Genomic DNA, 20267 nt, shown 5'->3' with positions numbered 1-20267 from the left:
GATGTGTTTTATGGAGAAAATCTACTGTCACTCCATAGAATTAAAAAAGGCCTCCTACATCTTTTGTGTTCATTACAATTATCCTTTTCAGTTTCACAAAACAATTTTAAAATACTGTATCTCCTGTAGCTATAGTTTTTAAAATGCCTTTACATTAATACTTAATTATAAACTCAGTAATGAAATAGGAGTGTTATTTATTATTTATCTCAAAATGTCAGCTGGTTAGACTTTACCCACAAATTATCTGAAGGCATTAAATTACATACCTTCATAGGTAGTCAACAGACACTGTTGGGATTGTCTACAGTATGTTTACAAGCTAATTTGTTTACAGAATGTTGACTACTCATTTACATTTCTGCTTTTTTTATTCTAGCAGATCCTCTTTGGACAAACATACTTAATATAAGGAACTTGTAAAGGAAATCTTTTTAGCTTAAAAAATAAGTGTCAGATCAAAAGCAGAATAATCTCTTTGCTGAAATGTTATCAAATAATATTGACCATCAATATTTTACACACTAAAGAATTAAATTACCCTGAAATATCATGGAAATGCATGATTTTCCTGTGTGTCAGGAATGCTGTGCAGTTTTGTCTGGATTCATTAAGGCGCTCACTGCCTAAGTGCGTTGCCAACCGGAATGTGGGTGGCTATAATGGCAGCCTGTAGGTTTGTATGGAAAACAAGTATGGCACTGTGAAAAAATCCTTCTCTCACCCTACAGATACCTGTACGGAGAACTTGGGAGGCATTTTTATAAGCTCATTGTCAAGTGAATGTTAAAGTCCCCATTCACTGAGAAGCAAAGGTAAGTCTGAAAAATGCGTTGAAAAAAGAAAAGGGGGTGGGGAGTGGGGTGGAATCACCTAGCATTGAAGCAGCCTAACCAAGTGACAGACACGTAGACAACTCCGATGCTGCCAGAATAACACTCTGCACAGCCCACCAGCAAGCAATTTGTCACTGCGACAAGAATATCCTCCGCAATTTGGCATCAGGGTCCTTGGACAGCCAACTGCGCCTGTACAGCACGAGACGTGCTATTCGGCAACGGGAAGATGGGAACCAAGGTTCTCGTTATTATGTCCAAATGTATTATTTTATGAAAAACATATCTTTTGTCATGATCAACATAGAGATAGAATAGAAGTAATCGATAATAACTGGGGAAAATGAGATGAAAAATTGAGAAAAATATGTCCTTGTATTTTTTTAGGTACCCTGACTGTTGAGAGAATTTCAGGATGTTTGCTTGATGTGTCTGGTATTTTATGGCACACTTCCACAGTGTTTCATAGGAATAATAAATCCATAGGTGCAGAATGAACTGGGAAGATTTTGGGGGGTATTAAGCCATTTGCTTTAGGCAGACCGTGCTCTTTGCTTTGTTTTGGACTTTATGTGATTGTATATGGTGTTTGATTAATAATATGTTGCTGGGTGCAAATCCTTTCTTATTGCTCTGATTTGAAGTAAGACAAAGAGTACAAGGTAAGTTGAGTTAAAAATTTGCAAAGGAAAGACCTTTTACTCTTTACATTGCTATCCTGGTAATCTATTATAAAAGTGCAGTAAAGGAAAGAAGCCAGGAGCATAGGATAAAGGTATCTGATAAATAAGCAAGTAGTGTTCCCCTTGCCAATTACTTGGCATCTTACTTTGTAATTAATGCCACAGTAATGAAAAAAGTGGTAGGCACGAAGATTGGGCCTTTTGTGCATTCTATACAGAAGCAAACACTCATAAAAATCTAGCTCAAAGCTACCCTAGTTTGGCTTTCTCCACAATCAAAACTTGCTGGAGAATTAGAACAATCCCATAGGGGTGTGTGTGTGTGTGTGTGTGTGTGTGTGTGTGTGTGTGTGTGTTACAATGTATTATATAAGAGTGACATCAGCCAATTGTGGTATTGCTCTCTCCATTACACAGACAAGGGTATCCTTCATTCCCCAGACATGATGGAATCTTGTACCCATTCTGCCAGGAGCTAACATCATGGTATCTATTATGTTGTTCACTAGCTGTCCTATGAAGCACTTTAGCTAACTGCTGCTTAAGTCGCTATATTAACTGCCTGGCCATGCCTGATGTATTTCCAAGAAGCTTATTTAGTTGTGCTCTATGCAAACCTTCAGGAAATCCTAAAAGTACTTAAAAGTTAAACAATAATGAGAGTAGTAATATTAATAGGCATTTTTAAGAAGGAAGAAAGAATATAATTTAGGTAATTTTGATATTATTTGAAATCCAGTACATGTTTCAAAAATTATCGAGCTAGTATTGTAACAATATTCCACAAAAATGTTTTCCCCACATAAACTGGACAATGGTGAATGGCTGAGGGTCAGCAGGTTGGATAATGAGTTGTTTAATTGTGACACCGTGGAAGTGGTGCTGGGATAGAGTGTGTTGAGTACCTATGCACATGGATGGTTAAGTGAAAAGGCCTAAGATTTATATTATTTGAGGGATAAGCTACAAAGAAAGGGGAGAACAGAAGGTGAGTGAAGACAGAGTGTTCAAGGCTAGAGAGTACAAAATACAGTGGAGACCATAAAGAAAACTAACCCCTACTTTTCTAAGCTTTGCATGGGGTGTTTTCCTTGCAACTCCCATTAAAGTCAATGGGAATCCTGCAGCTAAAACCCTGTGTAACTCTTTGACAATTTACTTCCTAGTGTCAGAAAAAGAGTACTACCTACTAAAGGCAATTTACTCATTTTAGTTTGTGCCTCCCATACAAAGATGAATTTGATAGCACATAGCAGGAGGAAAATGGAGACTACATTTAAGAATTTTGTTATTGCAAAAGAAGTCATCATTGAAAAATGTCGCCTAAACTCTCACCTTGTTTAGCAACAACAATAAACAGAGAAAAGCAATCCAGTGAAAGAATATGAAAAGAAGTATGGACTTGATTACAGGAAATATAGTGATTGCTAGTATTAGGTGTTTTTTTTTTTTTCATTTTAAATTCTCTAGCTCTGAGCACAATCGCAGGATAATAAGAATACAGGACGATTCTTAAGACACCAAATTGAAGTTCCTGATTACTTGCTTTTTCCTTGCACCTCAAGTTGTATATATGTAAATACAGCAATAGTATCCTTACAGAATTAATAATACACATACAGTGGGGGTGGGGCTACCATAGGCTCCTAGTTATAGGTAGCAAAATAAGTAAATGGCAGATGTCTATTCTGCTGTAAGCAATAACTAAATAAATGCAACATACCCTCTATATAGCAGTATTTTTGAAAGCTATAGAATGTGCCTGTTAAAAAGTGCATGCTATTTACAGACTACTTCATGAACTTTGAAGTCGGAATACTAACACTGGCTTTCAGCCTTTATTTTCATTATGTCTCTATATTTCTTTACTCTCACATGAGAAGTCTTTATTTCAGTGCTCTTCCATTTTACTGATATAATTCTAATTTCACTGTTATAAATGGTATGTGGGCTGAAGATAGGGCTTCTGTATTTTCTGACTCCCTTCTCTGTGATTTGTTTTGTGACTTGTCCTTTGGAGGGTGAAGAAGTGAGACCCTACATGGCTTTTTAGTGCATTGATGGAGCAGAGACACGTCTATGAACAACTGCCTATGCAAACTGATTACTCGGCAGTATAATTTATCAGTTTGTATGAGTAAGTGAGTGCTTCTCACTATGGATTTAGCTTGCACTTCAATTTAGGTAAGTATACTGCTGCAGCAGCCTCGAAACCAGTGCTCTCTGATTGTACCAATTAGTAAATCCTGAACTTTACCATCAGAAAAAGACATAGCTCCACATTTATGAATGCCTGGCTTTTGAGAATGAGAGTAATTATGTCACCAAAACTGCCATTGATTTTTCAGATAGACATCTCAATAATTTTGCAAGAGTAAAAGCCTTTTTCTAAAGCACATGGGTGTTTTTTTATGGTACGAATAATACATAGGGATGAATACAGTGATTTGATATGTGAGAACATTTAAGGGAGGAGGTATTTTATTTGAACAGAATTTAGATGTGCTTCCGGGCTGAGTCCTTGATTATAAATTTCATGTTGGAGGGTTTTGACTGTGTGAGAACTTCTGACATCTAATTTTTTTGGAGGAGGGGATTGAGAATTTACAAAATAATAAAATAGGATATGCTGTTGTTAAAACAGATTGTAATATTATCATAAAATAATAGATGAAAATACATTTAATTTTCTATGTTTAGTTTAAATATTCACAGCTGGTTTATGCTCCTCCTTATATCCCAAGCCATTCACCATTGGTGACTAGATCATATATCCTTAACCAAATATACATTAAAAGATTTCTGTTCACAAATTAAGCCTGAACTGAATTTAGCACATAGAGCTTTTAGCCAACGATTAAACTTCTTCATTTTTTTCCTTCTAATTGAACATAGGCATGGCTAATAGTATTTTTGTATCAGCAAAAATAAATGAGTACCAGTATTTAAATCCCCAGCCCCCCCAAAAATCCTGATATTGCAGGGAAAATGTCATTCACAATATTACAGATACTTGTTTTCTTCTCATATTCGAGGGTCATTGTTTCATTTTAGGTAAGCACCTGAATAATCATTAACACATTTTATGGAGTTAAAGACTTATAAGGTCATATACTCTAGATCTCTTATTTTAGGAATTATATTTTCCATGATCTGAAAGAATTAGATATTTGAACCAATTAAGTTCTAAAATTAATCTGTTTGTTTCAGACTTGTTTTGCTGGGGAATTTGCTATAAATCAATGTTTGCTGTCACTGAAGTTTAGGGCATCTTTCGATATTCATTTTAAAAATATCTCCTTCCACATGGTTAAGAAATTATTATGACTTTGATATTACATCTATGCAATCATTTTGCAGTATGTGTAGCTGGAGAAAGGCTTACAGAAATAATATAGTTTGCCTTTCAATATCTCAAAATCATGTTTTTAGTTTCTAGCACAGGTTTTTAGGCACACACACACACACACACACACACACACACACTGCATTGCCTTTAGCTCAATGAGAAACACTTTGAATATATTTAACCTGAAATATTTATTTCAGTCCCGGGGATACTGTTTCTTGAACTAATTTTATCACCTGTACAAAAGATTTATGTAAACATTATCACTAAGAAAGTCTAAGAAGCAAAAAGAATAAATGTATAATCAAATTAATGACTGATTATATGCATAAGGACGAGTTTGTATTCATTATTTTCTTCACCGTGACCACATTTCTCTTTTTCCTGTTTTCCTATTTATCTGCATTTCTTCAGACATGACACTTGACTAGCCTTCTGCAACTAAAATAAGCTAAAATGTGGAAGGAGGTAATTGTTGGGTAAGACATGGCACTGTTAACGATGTTGATTCTCTGGCTTCAGAGATCTTCGGGATTTTTCATATGGTAAATTTCTGATGCTCCACCTCAAAGATTTGAAGCCTGATCTCTTCGTTCTATATCCAAGAAAAGGAAGTCATTGTACAATAGACTGAGTATTCTGGAGCAAAAGGTCATCCAACGTTATAAAAGCTTGCCTGAGACCAAAGCATGGAAAGGAAATCCTCCTCCCAGGCAGTGTTAAGTTGTCTGTTCCCTTCTTGGCATGTATGCACAACTTCTTTAACACTAAGGAGATTTATTCATGGGTACTGAGGGAGGAAGGGGCTTTATAAAGTGAAATGGGGCCTTGAAATTTCTCAAGGATACCCTAAAACAGACAAGGAACAAGTCTGTTCCAAATGGTAAGATGGAGCAGGATAGTAATGATGGGACAGTGTAATTTTTTATTTACAGATATAAAACATCAGATGAAATACATCATAATTTTCATAGTTATTTAAGTGTGAAAGGCACATAATTGGTAAGTTAAGTTATTTCACGATCTTTTAAGTGGCAGTGTTGGGCAATGGGAAAATAAATAGGTTATTTCTGTTTTTTTCAATAACATGCAATACAAATTTGAGCAATTCATTTAATTAGGGCTTTGTATTGCCTCATTAGCAGAAATTCATAGCATCCATTTGATTATATTTCAGGTCTTTTGGGATACTGGTATTGGATGATTCTGTGTCACAGCTATAGTTGTCAAAAGTGCCTACATGGGTACAAGGCAAACGATATTCTAACACTGTTGACATAACAAGTGATGCAAGATTATTGCTGATACCTGATTTTTTTTTCATTGTTATTTGAGCTCTTATTCCCCAAGAGGATATATTATATTTACTATGATGGTTTCATTCATTTGCTCATTTGTTCACTCAAAAATAATACCGAGTATTGACTAAAGGGCATGTCTATCTTGTCTGTCAGTAATTCAGAAACCACTAAGATATAGTTTCAAAACTTCAAAATACTGATCATCTGGTGAATGAGGATATAAAACAAAGGCAACAACACAACACAGCCAGCGCTATGATAAAAATGTGCCAACATTTTTATGGGAAGTTGGAGGAGTTGCTCCTAACTTGCCTCAGAGAGGCTAGAAGATTCATACAGGAGGTGATTGCTGAACTAGATTGACGATAAAGATGGGACCACTTCAAACTCTTGTCAGTAGACTGAAGATTGCCACAGGAAGGCTCAAAGTTAATTAATGTTTTTTAGAAGGTCTTTGGCTTTAACACTTTCCATGGCTTCAAAAACATACATTATCGTAAAGCTCTGCTTCTATCATTTTGTTTTGGTATTGGCTTGCTTTCTTGTCTCTTTTACATTACATAGGAAGGGAGGGGAAAAACAATAAGTACTAAATGTAGGTGTATGGTTAATATCATGACTACTTTCCACTCGTTCAATACCTCCATTTAAAAAATAATATATCTCCATGTGTATGTGCATGAAAAGTAAATATATGTAAATTATTATGATATTTTTCTGAGATAACAGGAAAGATAATGGAATATTAATAAGCCCAAGAAGAGAAATCTATACTCAAATTATTTTAAATAGTTGAGTAATTCTAGGGCTATCCAAGAACAGTTAAATACTCAAAAATTTTTTTCCCATTATACAATGTGTTAGAAGGATTCTTTTTCTAGTAGGTGTGAAAAAGAAGCAGGTAGCAGGAGAGCTTGGTACACAGAACATATTTGAAACAAAATCAGAATTTAATGATCTAGGTCAGTGATTATCAAACTATAATGTGTTTAAGAACTACCTGAAGAACTTGTTAAAGCAGTAGGCCTGGGGTAGGACCGATTAATTTTCATTTTTTACAGACCCATAGATGATGCTGATGCTGTTGGTTTAGAATCACACTTGGGGAATCACTTATCTAGACAAGGGCTTCTGATATTTAATCTGTACAAATCCCCCTAATCTTGTTATATTGAAGATACTGATTCCATAGGCCTCAGGTGGGTGGGAGTATTTGCATTTCAAACAAGCTCAAAGGTGATGCTTATGCTACTCTCCGCAGACCCATTGTGGGAAGCAAGGATTTAGATGATCCACTATTATAAGCCCAAGTCATATTGCATGGTTTGGTGATTTCAGAAAATAATAGGTTCAAATAAGGCTTCGAGTTTATTTCCTGACCAAATAAGATTGTATCCTTACCAACAAGATCGCTGTTTCTTGTGTACAGTATGAATATATATTATCACCCCCTTGAGAGAAGCATTTACTGAGCTCCTGTTTCCTGTATGAAATGACTGCCCTAGTTACTAATTAAGTAAAAAGTGGATTTCTTCTTTTACTTAGCTTCCATAAGTATTCTGAAGCTTTAGAAATGAAACACTACCCAGACCGGTCATTTATTAAGTTTATTATGTTTTCTTGATTCTAATAAATTGTATATAAGTACAGATGGCAAAAAAGGATTGTTCTAATACCTCAACTCAAACAAAGAAGCATTTTAGAAATACCATATTAGGCAAGGATCATTATCTAACCCCCTTATTTAAAATTTTTATTTAGACAAAGTCTATTCATATAAAGCAAAAAGTTGAACTAAATCTCGTCAAATGAGCTGGAAAATATACTTAATTTTGATGAGATAACAGTACCTGGTGGATTATATGGGTGTGGGCGTGAAGGAGCCTTACTAATAAGTGTTGGCTGTCTTCAACCCACATTTTCTCAGTAATTGATAATTCTCCATTTCTTCTCTGCTATGTAAACCTTTTAAAAAATAGAACAGTGAAATAATGATAATGATAATACATTAAGAAATTTGAAGTATCACTTTCTAACAGAGCATTCAAATAAAAAAATACAAGTAATAGAATCTGTAGTATACATTTTGGCCAACTTTGAATTGTTTGAAGAACCGTGGGGATGCATACTTTCTTTTTTCTCTTATGATGCTCCCATTCACAAATTTTCAAGTGATATGATACTGTTAAATTCTGTAATTCAGTTACTTGAAATGATGTTTGCATAGTTAGCAGTAAATATTTCTATTCTGCTTATTTATGTATTTATTTATTTGGCTGGACTGGAACAAATATAGTTAACTGATTTGAGTATTTGTTAATGCAAATACCAAAGCCCTTAGCCATATTATTGTAAAACTATTTTAAAGTATCATAATGATTTTAAGATTTATTTTTGCCTGGTGTATGTGGCTTTTTATATGATCATTTATGAGGATAAATGATTATAATAATAATTTGTAATTAAGTACTTTGTCATTTCTACTCCTTTTCCCATTTCCAAAGGGTATTGATTGAACTCATCAAATTGAACGATTACAAAAAAAAAAAAGTTTTACTTGCAGGATGTTTGACTTCTTAAAAAACACCATACTTGTGTCTTTTGGTAGTATCTATCTTAAAAAAGGTGCAAACAATGCGATCTCATAATGTAGATATTTGGGCTAGAGAAGCAGAGGTTCTTAAACCTTTTTGGAAATACAATTCTTTATAAACCCTGTGGTCCTTCTTTACAGAAAATGTTTATGAAGTACACACAAAGAAATTTTGCAAAAAAAGTAATGTCTATTCACGATCTTCTTGAAGGAAGATTCAGTAACTCTAGTCTTGATAATTGAGGTAACGTTAACCAAAATGCCATCTTTTTCCTTCTTTCTTATATAGACATTGAAACCAGATGGATCAATAGACTGTTTTTCTAAATACATCATTTTGTTTTTATTGTGTAAACCTTTCCTTACAAATAAGCCTTTAGACTGATTTGTAACATGGAAGTAAGTGGACATCTGGCTTCTCTGAAAAATATGATTCACTCATTTGCATTTTTAAATTCCATTCATTCCATTTTTAAATTTTTCACTTGTCCTCTTTGCTCTTTCTAAAAGCAACTCTTCTCAACTCTTTTCAATTTCAAATACCTAAAGAGTTTACATTTCTTATAATTCAGAACATCATTTTTAAAAAATGTTTATATGAAAATCAATATTCAAGATCCACAGCATGAGGGAAACCCTGATATGTAGGTGAGTGAGAAGCTATTTTAACTGCAAAAGAATTTGGGTGACAAAAATCAATTTACCCCTAGTTATTTCTCATATGTTGGTCTTGGTTGACTTGGAAATATCTTTCAAAGGTCATTTTTAAAATTTCAGGGGCAAGATACTAATAAGTAATTCATTCCTTCTTCAGGTTGGTTATGAGATTCCTTCAAAAAGTATTTTGAGTATATAAAGGTATTTCTATTATCAATGATATGCTTGAAATAAATTCTGGGATGAAAGACTATAGTGCTGTTTGATTGTTCATGTTTATTATTTACAGTAATAGATTTTGTGAGTAAAAGTTGAAGGTCTAATAACTTAAAATCTGGAAGATTTATTCATTCATTTCAAGGTCTCATCCTTCTTTATAGTAGCAAAACAGAATTTGTAATGATTTCCACAACATTGAACTATCACAATAACCAAGAACAGAATGACTTGGAAATTCCATTCAAATTTTAGATAAGGCTTCTCAGAGAGCATTTTATTTCTCATCTTAAAATAATAGGCGCATGTGGAATCCTAATTAAACACATCTAATATCTTTGAATATTTTCCTCTAATCAACCAGTCATATCCCAGAAAGGTGCAAGCACGTGTGTGTGTGTGTATGTGTGTGTGTGTATGTGTATGTGTAAATATCTCCTCCAGTTGAGTGAAATAGTTGGTAGAGCCAAAACTAGATGGACCACCATGATAGGCAAAGATGAGAGAATGAGAGAAGTTAGTTCACCATGATCTTCAGATGTGAAATTTGGACTGAATTCTGAAAGTATAGCAGAAGATTATGCTTTTCTTAGAATATCAGTAACGTTAGTCTTAAGATTTTCTTAGGGGATATGCAGCATGGATGGTAGGGATGTATAGAAGTAAAACAAACCAAGAAGACCAAGTGGTCAAAGTTCTCAAGCTCTGAGCTTGCATGATCTCACTTGTAATTCCTGTCTCACAGCTGATATTCTTGTTAATATCATACAATTTAGAAAATACTAGGATGAACACATTGGACTTAAAATTAGGAAAAGTAAGTTTGATTCCACTTCCCAGCCTAGATTTCATGACAGCCGTTACATTGAACTGAATCTCATTTCCTTAATGGAAATGTGATTTAATTTAGATTTAGATTTAATAGAGCACCATGTTGCTCTATTCCCTCCCCAGTTTTGGTGCCTAAAATTGGGGAGAAATAGATGATTGTATTAATGATGTGGTTCATAGATATGTTAGAAAATGAGAATTCCCCTTATTGAAGTCAAGGAATTATAAGCCTTTTAAAGAAAGCCTGTAGAATTTCATAAGATAGAATTATAGATTTGGATCACTCCTAGAACCAACTACCCTTTAGAGAAGTCAATTCTCAGTCTACTGTAGCATAATCAGAGAGAATACATCAATCTCTTGAGATAAGGCAAATTGGTCCCATTAATCCTTTCAGAAATGCCCCAGCTCTTCTGTTCTCGGGAGGATGAGGTTACTATCATCAGAATACCCCTATAATTTTTGGAAAATTGTTACCAGTTTTGCACACATTGCATGGCAGTCCAGTATGAATGTAACAATCTTCAGTTCCTTAAGAACAAGTAGTTCACTTCTCTTTCTCGCTGATGTAGCTATAAGAATTCTGCATCAGGAGGCAGGTCGTATCCTCTCTCTTTAGAAAAAAAAAAATAGTTACTCTCCTAGTAAAGCTATGGATGTAAGTATGTAAGGTGTTGAATGCTGATTAGCACGTCATTCGGGCTTTCCACTTGATGTAATTAGGAGAAATGAAGGAGCCCTGAAAAACAGCTCTGGAGAGAAATGTGGACAGCTGTCCAAAGCATTTTGTGTTTCAAACAAATATTCATAGAATTCTTCACTGAAGGAGATGCTAGAAACTAGTCTCTGGGCATGACTAGATGAGTCTGTGTTTAGCAGATTAGGTCAAAGCAGAAATTATGTGTGTGAGTTGGTAAGGCCATAAAACAAGTGCAGAATCAATCAATCACCCTCTTTTTAGTAAAAATCCAAATGGGTTTTGGTGGTGGTTTTGGTTCATTTTGTCTTGCCTTGTGAGACAGATAATATCTTTCTCTATTCACTTCATAAGCACGTGGCAAGGACACAGTAAAAGACAATTGCAGTTATGCATCACATAAAGACATTTCAGCCAATGATGGACCACATATATAACAGTGGTCCCAAAAGATTATAATATCAGATGTTTACTGTACCTTTCCTATGTGTAGATACACACATACTTACTACTGTGTTGCAGTTGCCTATGGTATTCAGTACAGTAACATGCCGTACAGGTTTGTAGCTTAGGAGCAACACTCTATGGCATATAGCCCAGGTGAGTCGTAGGCTATACCATCCAGGTTTCTGTGAGTACACACTATGATGTTCCTGTAGCAATGAAATTGCCTAATGATGCAGTTCTCTGACTGCATGTCTGTCACTAGATGACACATGACTGTTCTCAATAAAATAACTTAGAGATTTAAGGGGAAAAAAGTACAACCATATAAAAATTAAGACATGTAAGTGTTCTATTGTGGTTTATAGTGGCTTTCACTTGAAGTTATTATTGTGGTGGTACGTATGAACTGATGTCCTTAACCTCTCTTTACCATAAGTAAAATTGAAGACTAAAGTCTCCATGAAGCCAATATAGAACTTAAAATTTTGGGACAATATCTTTACTGGTATAGCAGGTCAGTGAAGAGAGGAAAAGATGAAGCTAAAACTTTTCTTCTGAACTATATTTTCATCAGCCCTGCAGTTTGTTTTGTGTTAAGTAAATTTTTTGTTGAAATAAAACATTAAAGCCTGGGCGCAGTAGCTTACACCTGTAATCCCAACACTTTGGGAAGCTGAGGCAGGTGAATCACGAGGTCAAGAGATCAAGACCACCCTGGCCAACATAGTGAAATCCCGTCTCTACTGAAAAACAAAAATTAGTCGGGCACGGTGGTGCGTGCCTGTAGTCCTAGCTACTCGGGAGGCTGAGGCACGAATCACCGGAACCCAGGAGGTGGAGGTTGCAGTGAGCCGAGATCATGCCATTGCACTCCAGCCTGGGCGATAGAGCGCGACTCTGTCTCAAAAAAAAAAAAAAAAAAAAAAAAAGAAAGAAAGAAATAAGACATTAAAAATGCACAAATGAAAATGTACATATTATTAAATACTTTTAAAAAGGGAACATATCTGTGTAATACTCAGTAAGTTCAAGAAATAGAACATTATTAGCATATAAGAACCTCCCCTTTCTCACATTTTGTCATTACCCCCTCCAAAAGAAATTGTTGTCTTGATTCTTTTATCTTTCAATTAGTTTTATGTTGCTGACCTTTATATAAGTAGTAACGTATCATATGCGCTTTGTTGTACCTATATTGTGTTGTGTAATTGCAGTTCATTCCTTTTCATTGCAGTAGAATATTTCATCACATAAATATACTAAAATTCATTAAACCCGACTTTTGATAGACATGGGTTGTCTTTAATTGTTGGCTGCTGTTAATCTTCTTCATGTGATTTGGGCACACAAGTACACATTTCTGTTGAATATACCTAGGAGTGGAAATGCTGTGTAATAAGGTGTATGTTTGTTCAACTGTGGTAGATTTGATCAAATAATTTTCTGAAGCAGTTGTACTTTTTAATGCTTGTACCAGCAACGTCTGATGTTGCTCTATATCCTCACCAGGGTTTGGTGTTGTCATTCTCTTCAATTTTATCCATTTTGGTGGATATATAGTGATATCTCACTGTAATTTTAATTTGCACCCCTTTGACAACTAATAAAATTTGACCACTTTACCTACATTTATTGGCCATGGATATTACCTTTTGTGAAATATCTGATCAACTCCGTTGCTCGTTTCTTTTTTGAGTTGTCTTTTTTCTTCTGGTGGTGTAGTAGTTGGTATATTCTGGATATGTGTTCTTTTGAAACATGTGCCTTGCAAACATCTCTTTCCAGTCTATGGTTTGCTTTTTTTTGACTTTCTTAATGATGTCTTTGGATGAATATAATCTCCTAATTTTAATGTGGTCTTCCTTAATGGTTAGTGCATTTTGTGTACTGTTAAAAATAGCTTTACTTATCCAAGAGCATAACAATATATTCTTATTTTTTGGAAATGTATTTTTACCATTCATTTTTATGTCTACAAAGCACCTGAATTGATTTCTGTGTATGCTGAAAGGTAAGGTCCTTTATATATTTTTTCTTTTTGTATAACCAATTTGCTCAGCAGTATTTATAGAGAAGAAAATTCTTTCAATATTCCAGTGCAGTTTCACTTTTGTCATAAAGCAAGAGACTACATATTTGTGCAGATTTGTCTTTAGGTTCTCCTTGTGTACACTGTCTCCTTTCTCTGTGTATACACTGTCTTAATTACTATATATTTTATTAAGTCTTGATTTCCAGGGTTATATCTCTGTTGAATTTGTTCTTCTTCAAGATGATCTTGGTTATTCTTATCCCTTTACATTTCCATATGGATTTTAAAATTATCTTGTGGATTTCCATATTTAAAAATATCTGCTAGAATTTTGATTGAATCTATATATCATTTTTGAAAGAAATGCTATCTTTTCAGCATTGTATTCTGTTCAGAAACATGGTAAATCCTTTCATTTGTAGTTTTTATAGTCTTTAATTTCTCTCAGTAATTTTTTTTTGATTTTACCTGTGCAGATCTTATGCATATTTTATTAGATTTTTTTCTTTTGGTATTTGCTTTCTTTGGATGCTGTTGCAAATTGTATGTATATTTTTATAATTTCATTTTCTAATTGTCTGTTAGTGGTATTTAAAAGTACAATTGATTTGTAAATATTGACTATTCCTTCAGTTCTCTTGCTAAATTTATTTATAAATATTAATTGGTTTACTGTAGAAGCCTTTGAGTTTTATACATATAGAGTTACATCATCTGCCAATAATGTCATTTTTTCTTTTGTTTTCTAATCCTTATATCTTCCAGTTATTTTTCTTGCTTAACTCTAGCTAGATATTGAACTGAAGAGGCATTAATGGACATCTTTGTCTTGTTCCAACCTCATGGAGAAAAGTTTCTGTGTTTATGTATGATACTAATTATGAGTTTTATGTAGATACCTATTAATATCTGTATATATTATTAGGAAATTTTATTCTATTTCTAGAAGTGCATTGATTAATTTTCGAACATCTGTGGATTTTCTACTTAAAAAATTCAGTTTCTAATCAACAGCAATAAGATCAGAGAATGCACTATGATTTTAATTCTCAGAAATGTGTTGAACCTATAACAACATTGAATAAAACATGATCTGTTTTAGCATACATTCCACATGCACTTGAAAGAATACCTATCACCTTTGAACACAATGTTTTAAATAAGTCAGTTACATCGTGAGTGTTTATTTTCTTGCTAAAATCATCTGTATCCTTACTGATATTTTGTCCATTTATCATTTCTTAGAGAAATATGTTAAAATTTCCCACTATGATTGTTGATTTGTTCATTTTCTTTCTATTTCTGTCAATTTCTTTTGTTTCATATGCTTGAAGCAATGTCATTAGATAGGTAGATGTATAAATTTTAAACCACTGTATTTTTCTCAGGTACTAACCCTTTTATCATTAAAATATGCTCTTTGTCTTTAATAAAATTAGGCTGCCTGAATGTTTACCTTGTTTGATATCATTGTAGCAACATCAGTTTTATTTTGATTCATATTTTTGAGTTGTTTTTCCATCCGTTACTTTCATCCGCTCTGTGGTATTTAAGGGCATATGTGTTTGTGTGTGTGTGTTTTAATAGCGTAAAGTAGAGCTTTTAAAAATAATCTCACATCTTTGTTTTTACAATGTTGTATTTAGTCCATTTATATTTAATGTAACTGCTGATACATTTGAATTTATATTTACCATACTACAATTAATTTTCTATTGCATTAACTTACTTTGTTTCTGTTGTTTCCTTGTTTCGCACTAATTAAATTTTTCATGAATCCACTCTCATATTTGGCTAGTTTAGTAATTATACTTCACATATTTTTATTGATTTCCCAAGAGATTGCAACTCATACTCTTATTTAAGATAATCTATTTTATTTTTGTGTGTATGTTTTTGTTTTTGTTTGTTTGTTTGTTTTTCTTGAGACAGGGTCTCTGTCAGCCAGGCTGAAGTGCAGTGGCATGATCATACTCTTGGGCTCAGACTCTTGGGCTCAAGTGATCCTCCCACCTTAACCTCCTGAGTAGCTGGCATTACAGTTTCGAGCCACCATGCCCAGCTAATTTTTATTTTTTTGGAAATGGGGTCTTGCTATGTTGCCCAGGCTGGTATCAAATTTTGGTCTCAAGTGATCCTCCAACTTCAGTCTCCCAAGTAGCTGGAGCTACAGGCACATGCTGCTGGGCCAAGCCCAGAGCATCTATCTTAAATTTGCACTCTTAATAATTTCCAGAAAATACAAAACCCATAAAACACTTTATCTTATTTACCCATTTCTTGATTTTTGTATTCATATTGTCATGCATTTTAATTCTAGCTGTATTTGTTTATTTTTATTTATTTATTTTTTTGAGACGGAGTCTTGCTCTGTCACCCAGGCTGGAGTGCAGTGGCGCGATCTCAGCTCCCTGCAACCTCCGCCTCCTGGGTTCAAGCAGTTCTCCTGCCTCAGCCTCCCAAGTCACTGGGACTACAGGCGCAAGCCACCATGCCCTGCTAATTTTTGTATTTTTAGTAGAGATGGGGTTTCGCCATGTTGGGCAGGCTGGTCTCGAACTCCTGACCTCAGGTGATCCACCGGCCTCGGCCTCCCAAAGTGCTGGGATTACAGGCATGAGCTACTGTGCCCTACCAATTCTAGCTGTATTTTAAACCACAAAGTACTTTATTTCTTTTTGTAGGTATTATGTATTTTCAGATATACATGCATATTTACCATTTCCATTGATCTTCACTTCTCTCTGCATTTTTCTATTTGCTTCTGGGTTCTTTTTCATTTTGCTCAAAGAAATACTTTACTATTTTCTTTATTTTGTGTCTACTGCTAATAATTAATCTTAGTTTTTATATTCTTTCATTTTTGGAGGACATATTATCTGAGTCTAAAATTCTACTTTAGTAGGGATTTTTTTCCCCTTTAAGCACTTTAAAGATATGGCATTACCTCCTGGTTTCTATTGTCCCTTCCACTTCTTTGAAAGAAATGGTATTTTCACCCTCTGGGCACTCTTAAGGTTTTTCTCCTTGTCCATACATTTTGCTAGTTTTATGCAGAAGTATCTCATTGTGATTTTCTTTGTATAGTTTTCTTTATATTTATTCTACTTCAGGTACACAGGATGTTCTGAATTTGTGCTTGCAGTTTTTCTTCAGCATTGAGAAATTCTTGGTAAAAGTCTCTGCGATATTGCATTTGCCACATTCTCCCTCTGCTCTCTTTCCAGCACTCAAGTTAACATACATGATAGACCTTTCTATCATGACCCACATATGTCTTATGCTCTTTTCTGTACTTTCCATTCATTTTACTCCACATCAGTCTCAATATTTTCTACTGAGCTACCTTCCAGTGTTGTAATCCCTATTTTAGCTCTTTCCAAACTACTGTTAAGCTTATCTTTTAACATATGAGTTTAAGTGACTATAGTTTTAGATTTATATTTTTTATCTGATTTTGTTTAGGTTTCATTTGTGTGGTAAATTTCTCTGTCATCTTTCATTTCTTGAAGCTATTGATTAATTTATCTTAAATTATGTGTCTGTTATCTCTAATATATGTGTCACCTATGGGTTTGTTTCTATTGTCTGCTTGTTCTTTCGAGACTCCTTCTTCAACAAGACTGTACTGTCTTTTTTTTTTTTCATTGAATCATAGACATTTTGTTTGATTGTAAGAGCCAATCTGTTATCTCATTCCAGAGAAGATTCATTCCTTTCTCTGACAGGGAGCAAAAGAATGGGACATATCAATCTAATGATGAATTGAGCTGACTGTAGATGGTTTTCTGCCTTCATAAGTCTTAGTATTCCTCTTTCCAAGGGTATAGCTTTCTAGATATCCTAGTTGAGAGTTCTCACAGGATCATGAGAATGCCAGTATTCAGTCCTGACATATATATATATAATTTTTTTTTTCCTGAATGCCTCTTAGACTATTGTTCAATGCAGCTTAATTAGTTAGTATCTTCCTTGAAGAGTGGAGTGGTACAAATCCTGATTCTTTTTCTTTGGATTCTAGGTCTTTCAAATTTCTATCTTTTTTGTTACCACAAAACTACAATTTTTTACTTGTTAGTCTCTTGAGATTGCCTAAAACTTCTCTGCCTATTAGCAGCTGGCCTTCATCTGCCCTTCCGTCTTCTTGCTCTATGGCAGATGCCACAAAGAGAAAATAAATATTAAAAAAATTGGGATTGCCATGGTAAGCTCCCTTTTCTCCACAAGTTTGTTCCTAAGTTTTGACTGTTTCAGAAGCTCTCCTATGCCTTCATCTTGTGTCTTTGCATATTGTCCAGCTTCTCCTAATTGCTTTTAGCTACAGCTTATTATTATTATTTTGTTGATGAAGCAAGGGTCAACATCCAGTTTGAAATCTATTAACTTTGGAAAAATAATTATCTACTACATATATATTATAAAATAAATAAACTTATTTCAGGTTTTTAAAAAAGTCTATTTTATTATTTTTGATCTACTATAAGCCGCTCCATGATATTTGGAAGTGGAAATCACTTCCTATGAATATTTTCTTTGGAAAATAATGATATTAGATAATGTTCAGTGATTTTTACATGTTAACAAATTGTTTGAAAATAAATCACTTAAAACTCTATATCCTCTGGTATTACAAGGAATTCCAATGTATAACCTTCTGAGTATCCTTTCTTTCTCTCTCTTTCTCTCTTTCTTTCTTTCTTTCTTCTTTCTTTTTTTCTCTTTCTTTCTTTCTCTCCCTCTCTTTCTCTCTTTCCTCTTCCTTTCCCTTCCCTTCCCTTCCCTTCCCTTCCCTTCCCTTCCCTTCCCTTCCCTTCCCTTCCCTTCCCTTCCCCTCCCCTCCCCTCTCCTCCCTTCCCCTCCCCTCCCCTCTCCTCCCTTCCCCTCCTCTCCCCTCCCCTCCCCTTCCCTTTGTTTTTCGGAGTTTCGCTCTTTTTGCCCAGGCTGGAGTGCAATGGCGTGTGATCTTGGCTCACTGCAACCTCTGCCTCCCAGGCTCAAATGAGTCTCCTGCCTCAGTCTCCCGAGTAGCTGGGATTACAGGCACATGCCACCACACCCAGCTAATTTTTTATATTTTTAGTAGAGACAGGGTTTCACCATGTTGGCCAGGCTGGTCTCGAACTCCTGACCTCAGGTGATCCGCCTGCCTTGGCCTTCCAAAGTGCTGGGATTACAGGTGTGAGCCACCACGCCCAGCCATATCCTTTCTAGAGTACGCAAATTGTGTGTCTGAATTCAAACAATCTGCCAATACCTCTTAAAATATATGTATTATATGCTTTAAGCTTGGCTATGTTTTGAGATATTGTTAGAAATTTAGTACATAATATTTTAATTATAAAGTGATGTATTAGTCCATTATTGCCTTATTATAAATAAATACCCAAGACTGGGTAATTTATAAAAAAGAGGTTTAATTGGCTCACAGTTCTACAGCCTGTATAGGAGGCATGGCACCAGCATCTGCTTCTGGGAAGGCCTCAGGAAGCTTTCACTCATGGCAGAAGGTGAAGCAGGAGCAAACATTTCACATGAGAGAAGGAGGTGCCACACAATTTTAAACAACCAGATCTTATGAGAACTTACTCACTTTTGTGAGGACAGCACCAAGAGGATGGTGCTAAACCATTCATGAAAAATCCACCCCCATGATCTGATCACCTCCCACCAGGCTGCACCTCCAATATTAGGAATTACAATTCAACATGAGATTTGGGCAGGAAAAATATGTAAACTATATCAAATGATAATAACATAGGAGAAAAAAAACTTGGAACTTCATAATAATATATTTGGCTATTGGGGTACAAGCTCATATGGATGCCTTTAAAAAGAGTCTCAATAGTTAGATTATCTTGGTAATATAATGAACAATGAATGTTGTTAGAATGAGTTCTTAGAATTGTAGCTTTCAATTATGTGTTAAGAATTGATATAAAATTAAAATAATTAGTATACATACTGAATCAAAAATATTTTGCAAGTGAGGTGTGTCCTGGAATTTCTTACTCAAGAAGCTGAAATTGAGTAAACTCTGTGTTAAATGAAATAGTTTTGGAACTGCCATGTTCAGCACCTATTTCTTTTTGACATTACACTGTCACTGTTTGCACCAAAGACCTATTTTGGATACTTGATTACAAATCATGATTGGCTTTTCCTCTATATTTTAGTACCTTGATTCTCAGGAAGGCTTAATTCCATGTTTCCTGCTCCTTCCCATCCTCCCATTCTCTCATGTAATCTTACCTCAGGTATGTCCTTTTTTTTTTTTTTCACCAAAGGCAGGTATATTCCTGAACTCATCTTCCTGCATGATGAATTCAGGTGCACATTATCAAATAGCTGATCTGATAAACTGATATTTAATAAGATCCATGTTTCAAGTGGAAAGCTTTAAACATATTTCAATCAAATATTTCATTATGATAGGTCTTGAGTAAAATAGTCTTCATGTTATGTTAAACACATTTTCAAAGGAAAAACATTGTTTTTTTATGTTAAGCATTTAAATGAGTCTTCATATTACACTTTTCTGGTTATAAATATATAGATTTAGTAGATTCTAAAGATTTTCCCCCCTCAACCAATTCCAACCTGAGGGATATGGTAGAACAACTGTCAT

At 34.6% G+C, this 20267-nt stretch overlaps 1 long non-coding RNA gene across 3 annotated transcripts in view; it reads left to right on the top strand.

Moving 5' to 3' along the window:
• LOC102724934 (uncharacterized) overlaps window positions 1-20267 on the top strand; it is a 181069-nt gene that overhangs the window by 10059 nt on the left and 150743 nt on the right. For all 3 annotated transcript variants that reach the window (XR_001750707.2, XR_001750708.2, XR_943701.3), the window contains exons 2-3: window positions 732-815; window positions 3540-3703. This is a non-coding gene — a long non-coding RNA (uncharacterized LOC102724934). The remainder of the gene's footprint in view (window positions 1-731; window positions 816-3539; window positions 3704-20267) is intronic.

This window comes from Homo sapiens, chromosome 14 (assembly GCF_000001405.40).
Source record: "Homo sapiens chromosome 14, GRCh38.p14 Primary Assembly".
Lineage (NCBI taxonomy): Eukaryota > Metazoa > Chordata > Mammalia > Primates > Hominidae > Homo > Homo sapiens.
This window is presented reverse-complemented; position numbering and strand designations above follow the sequence as displayed.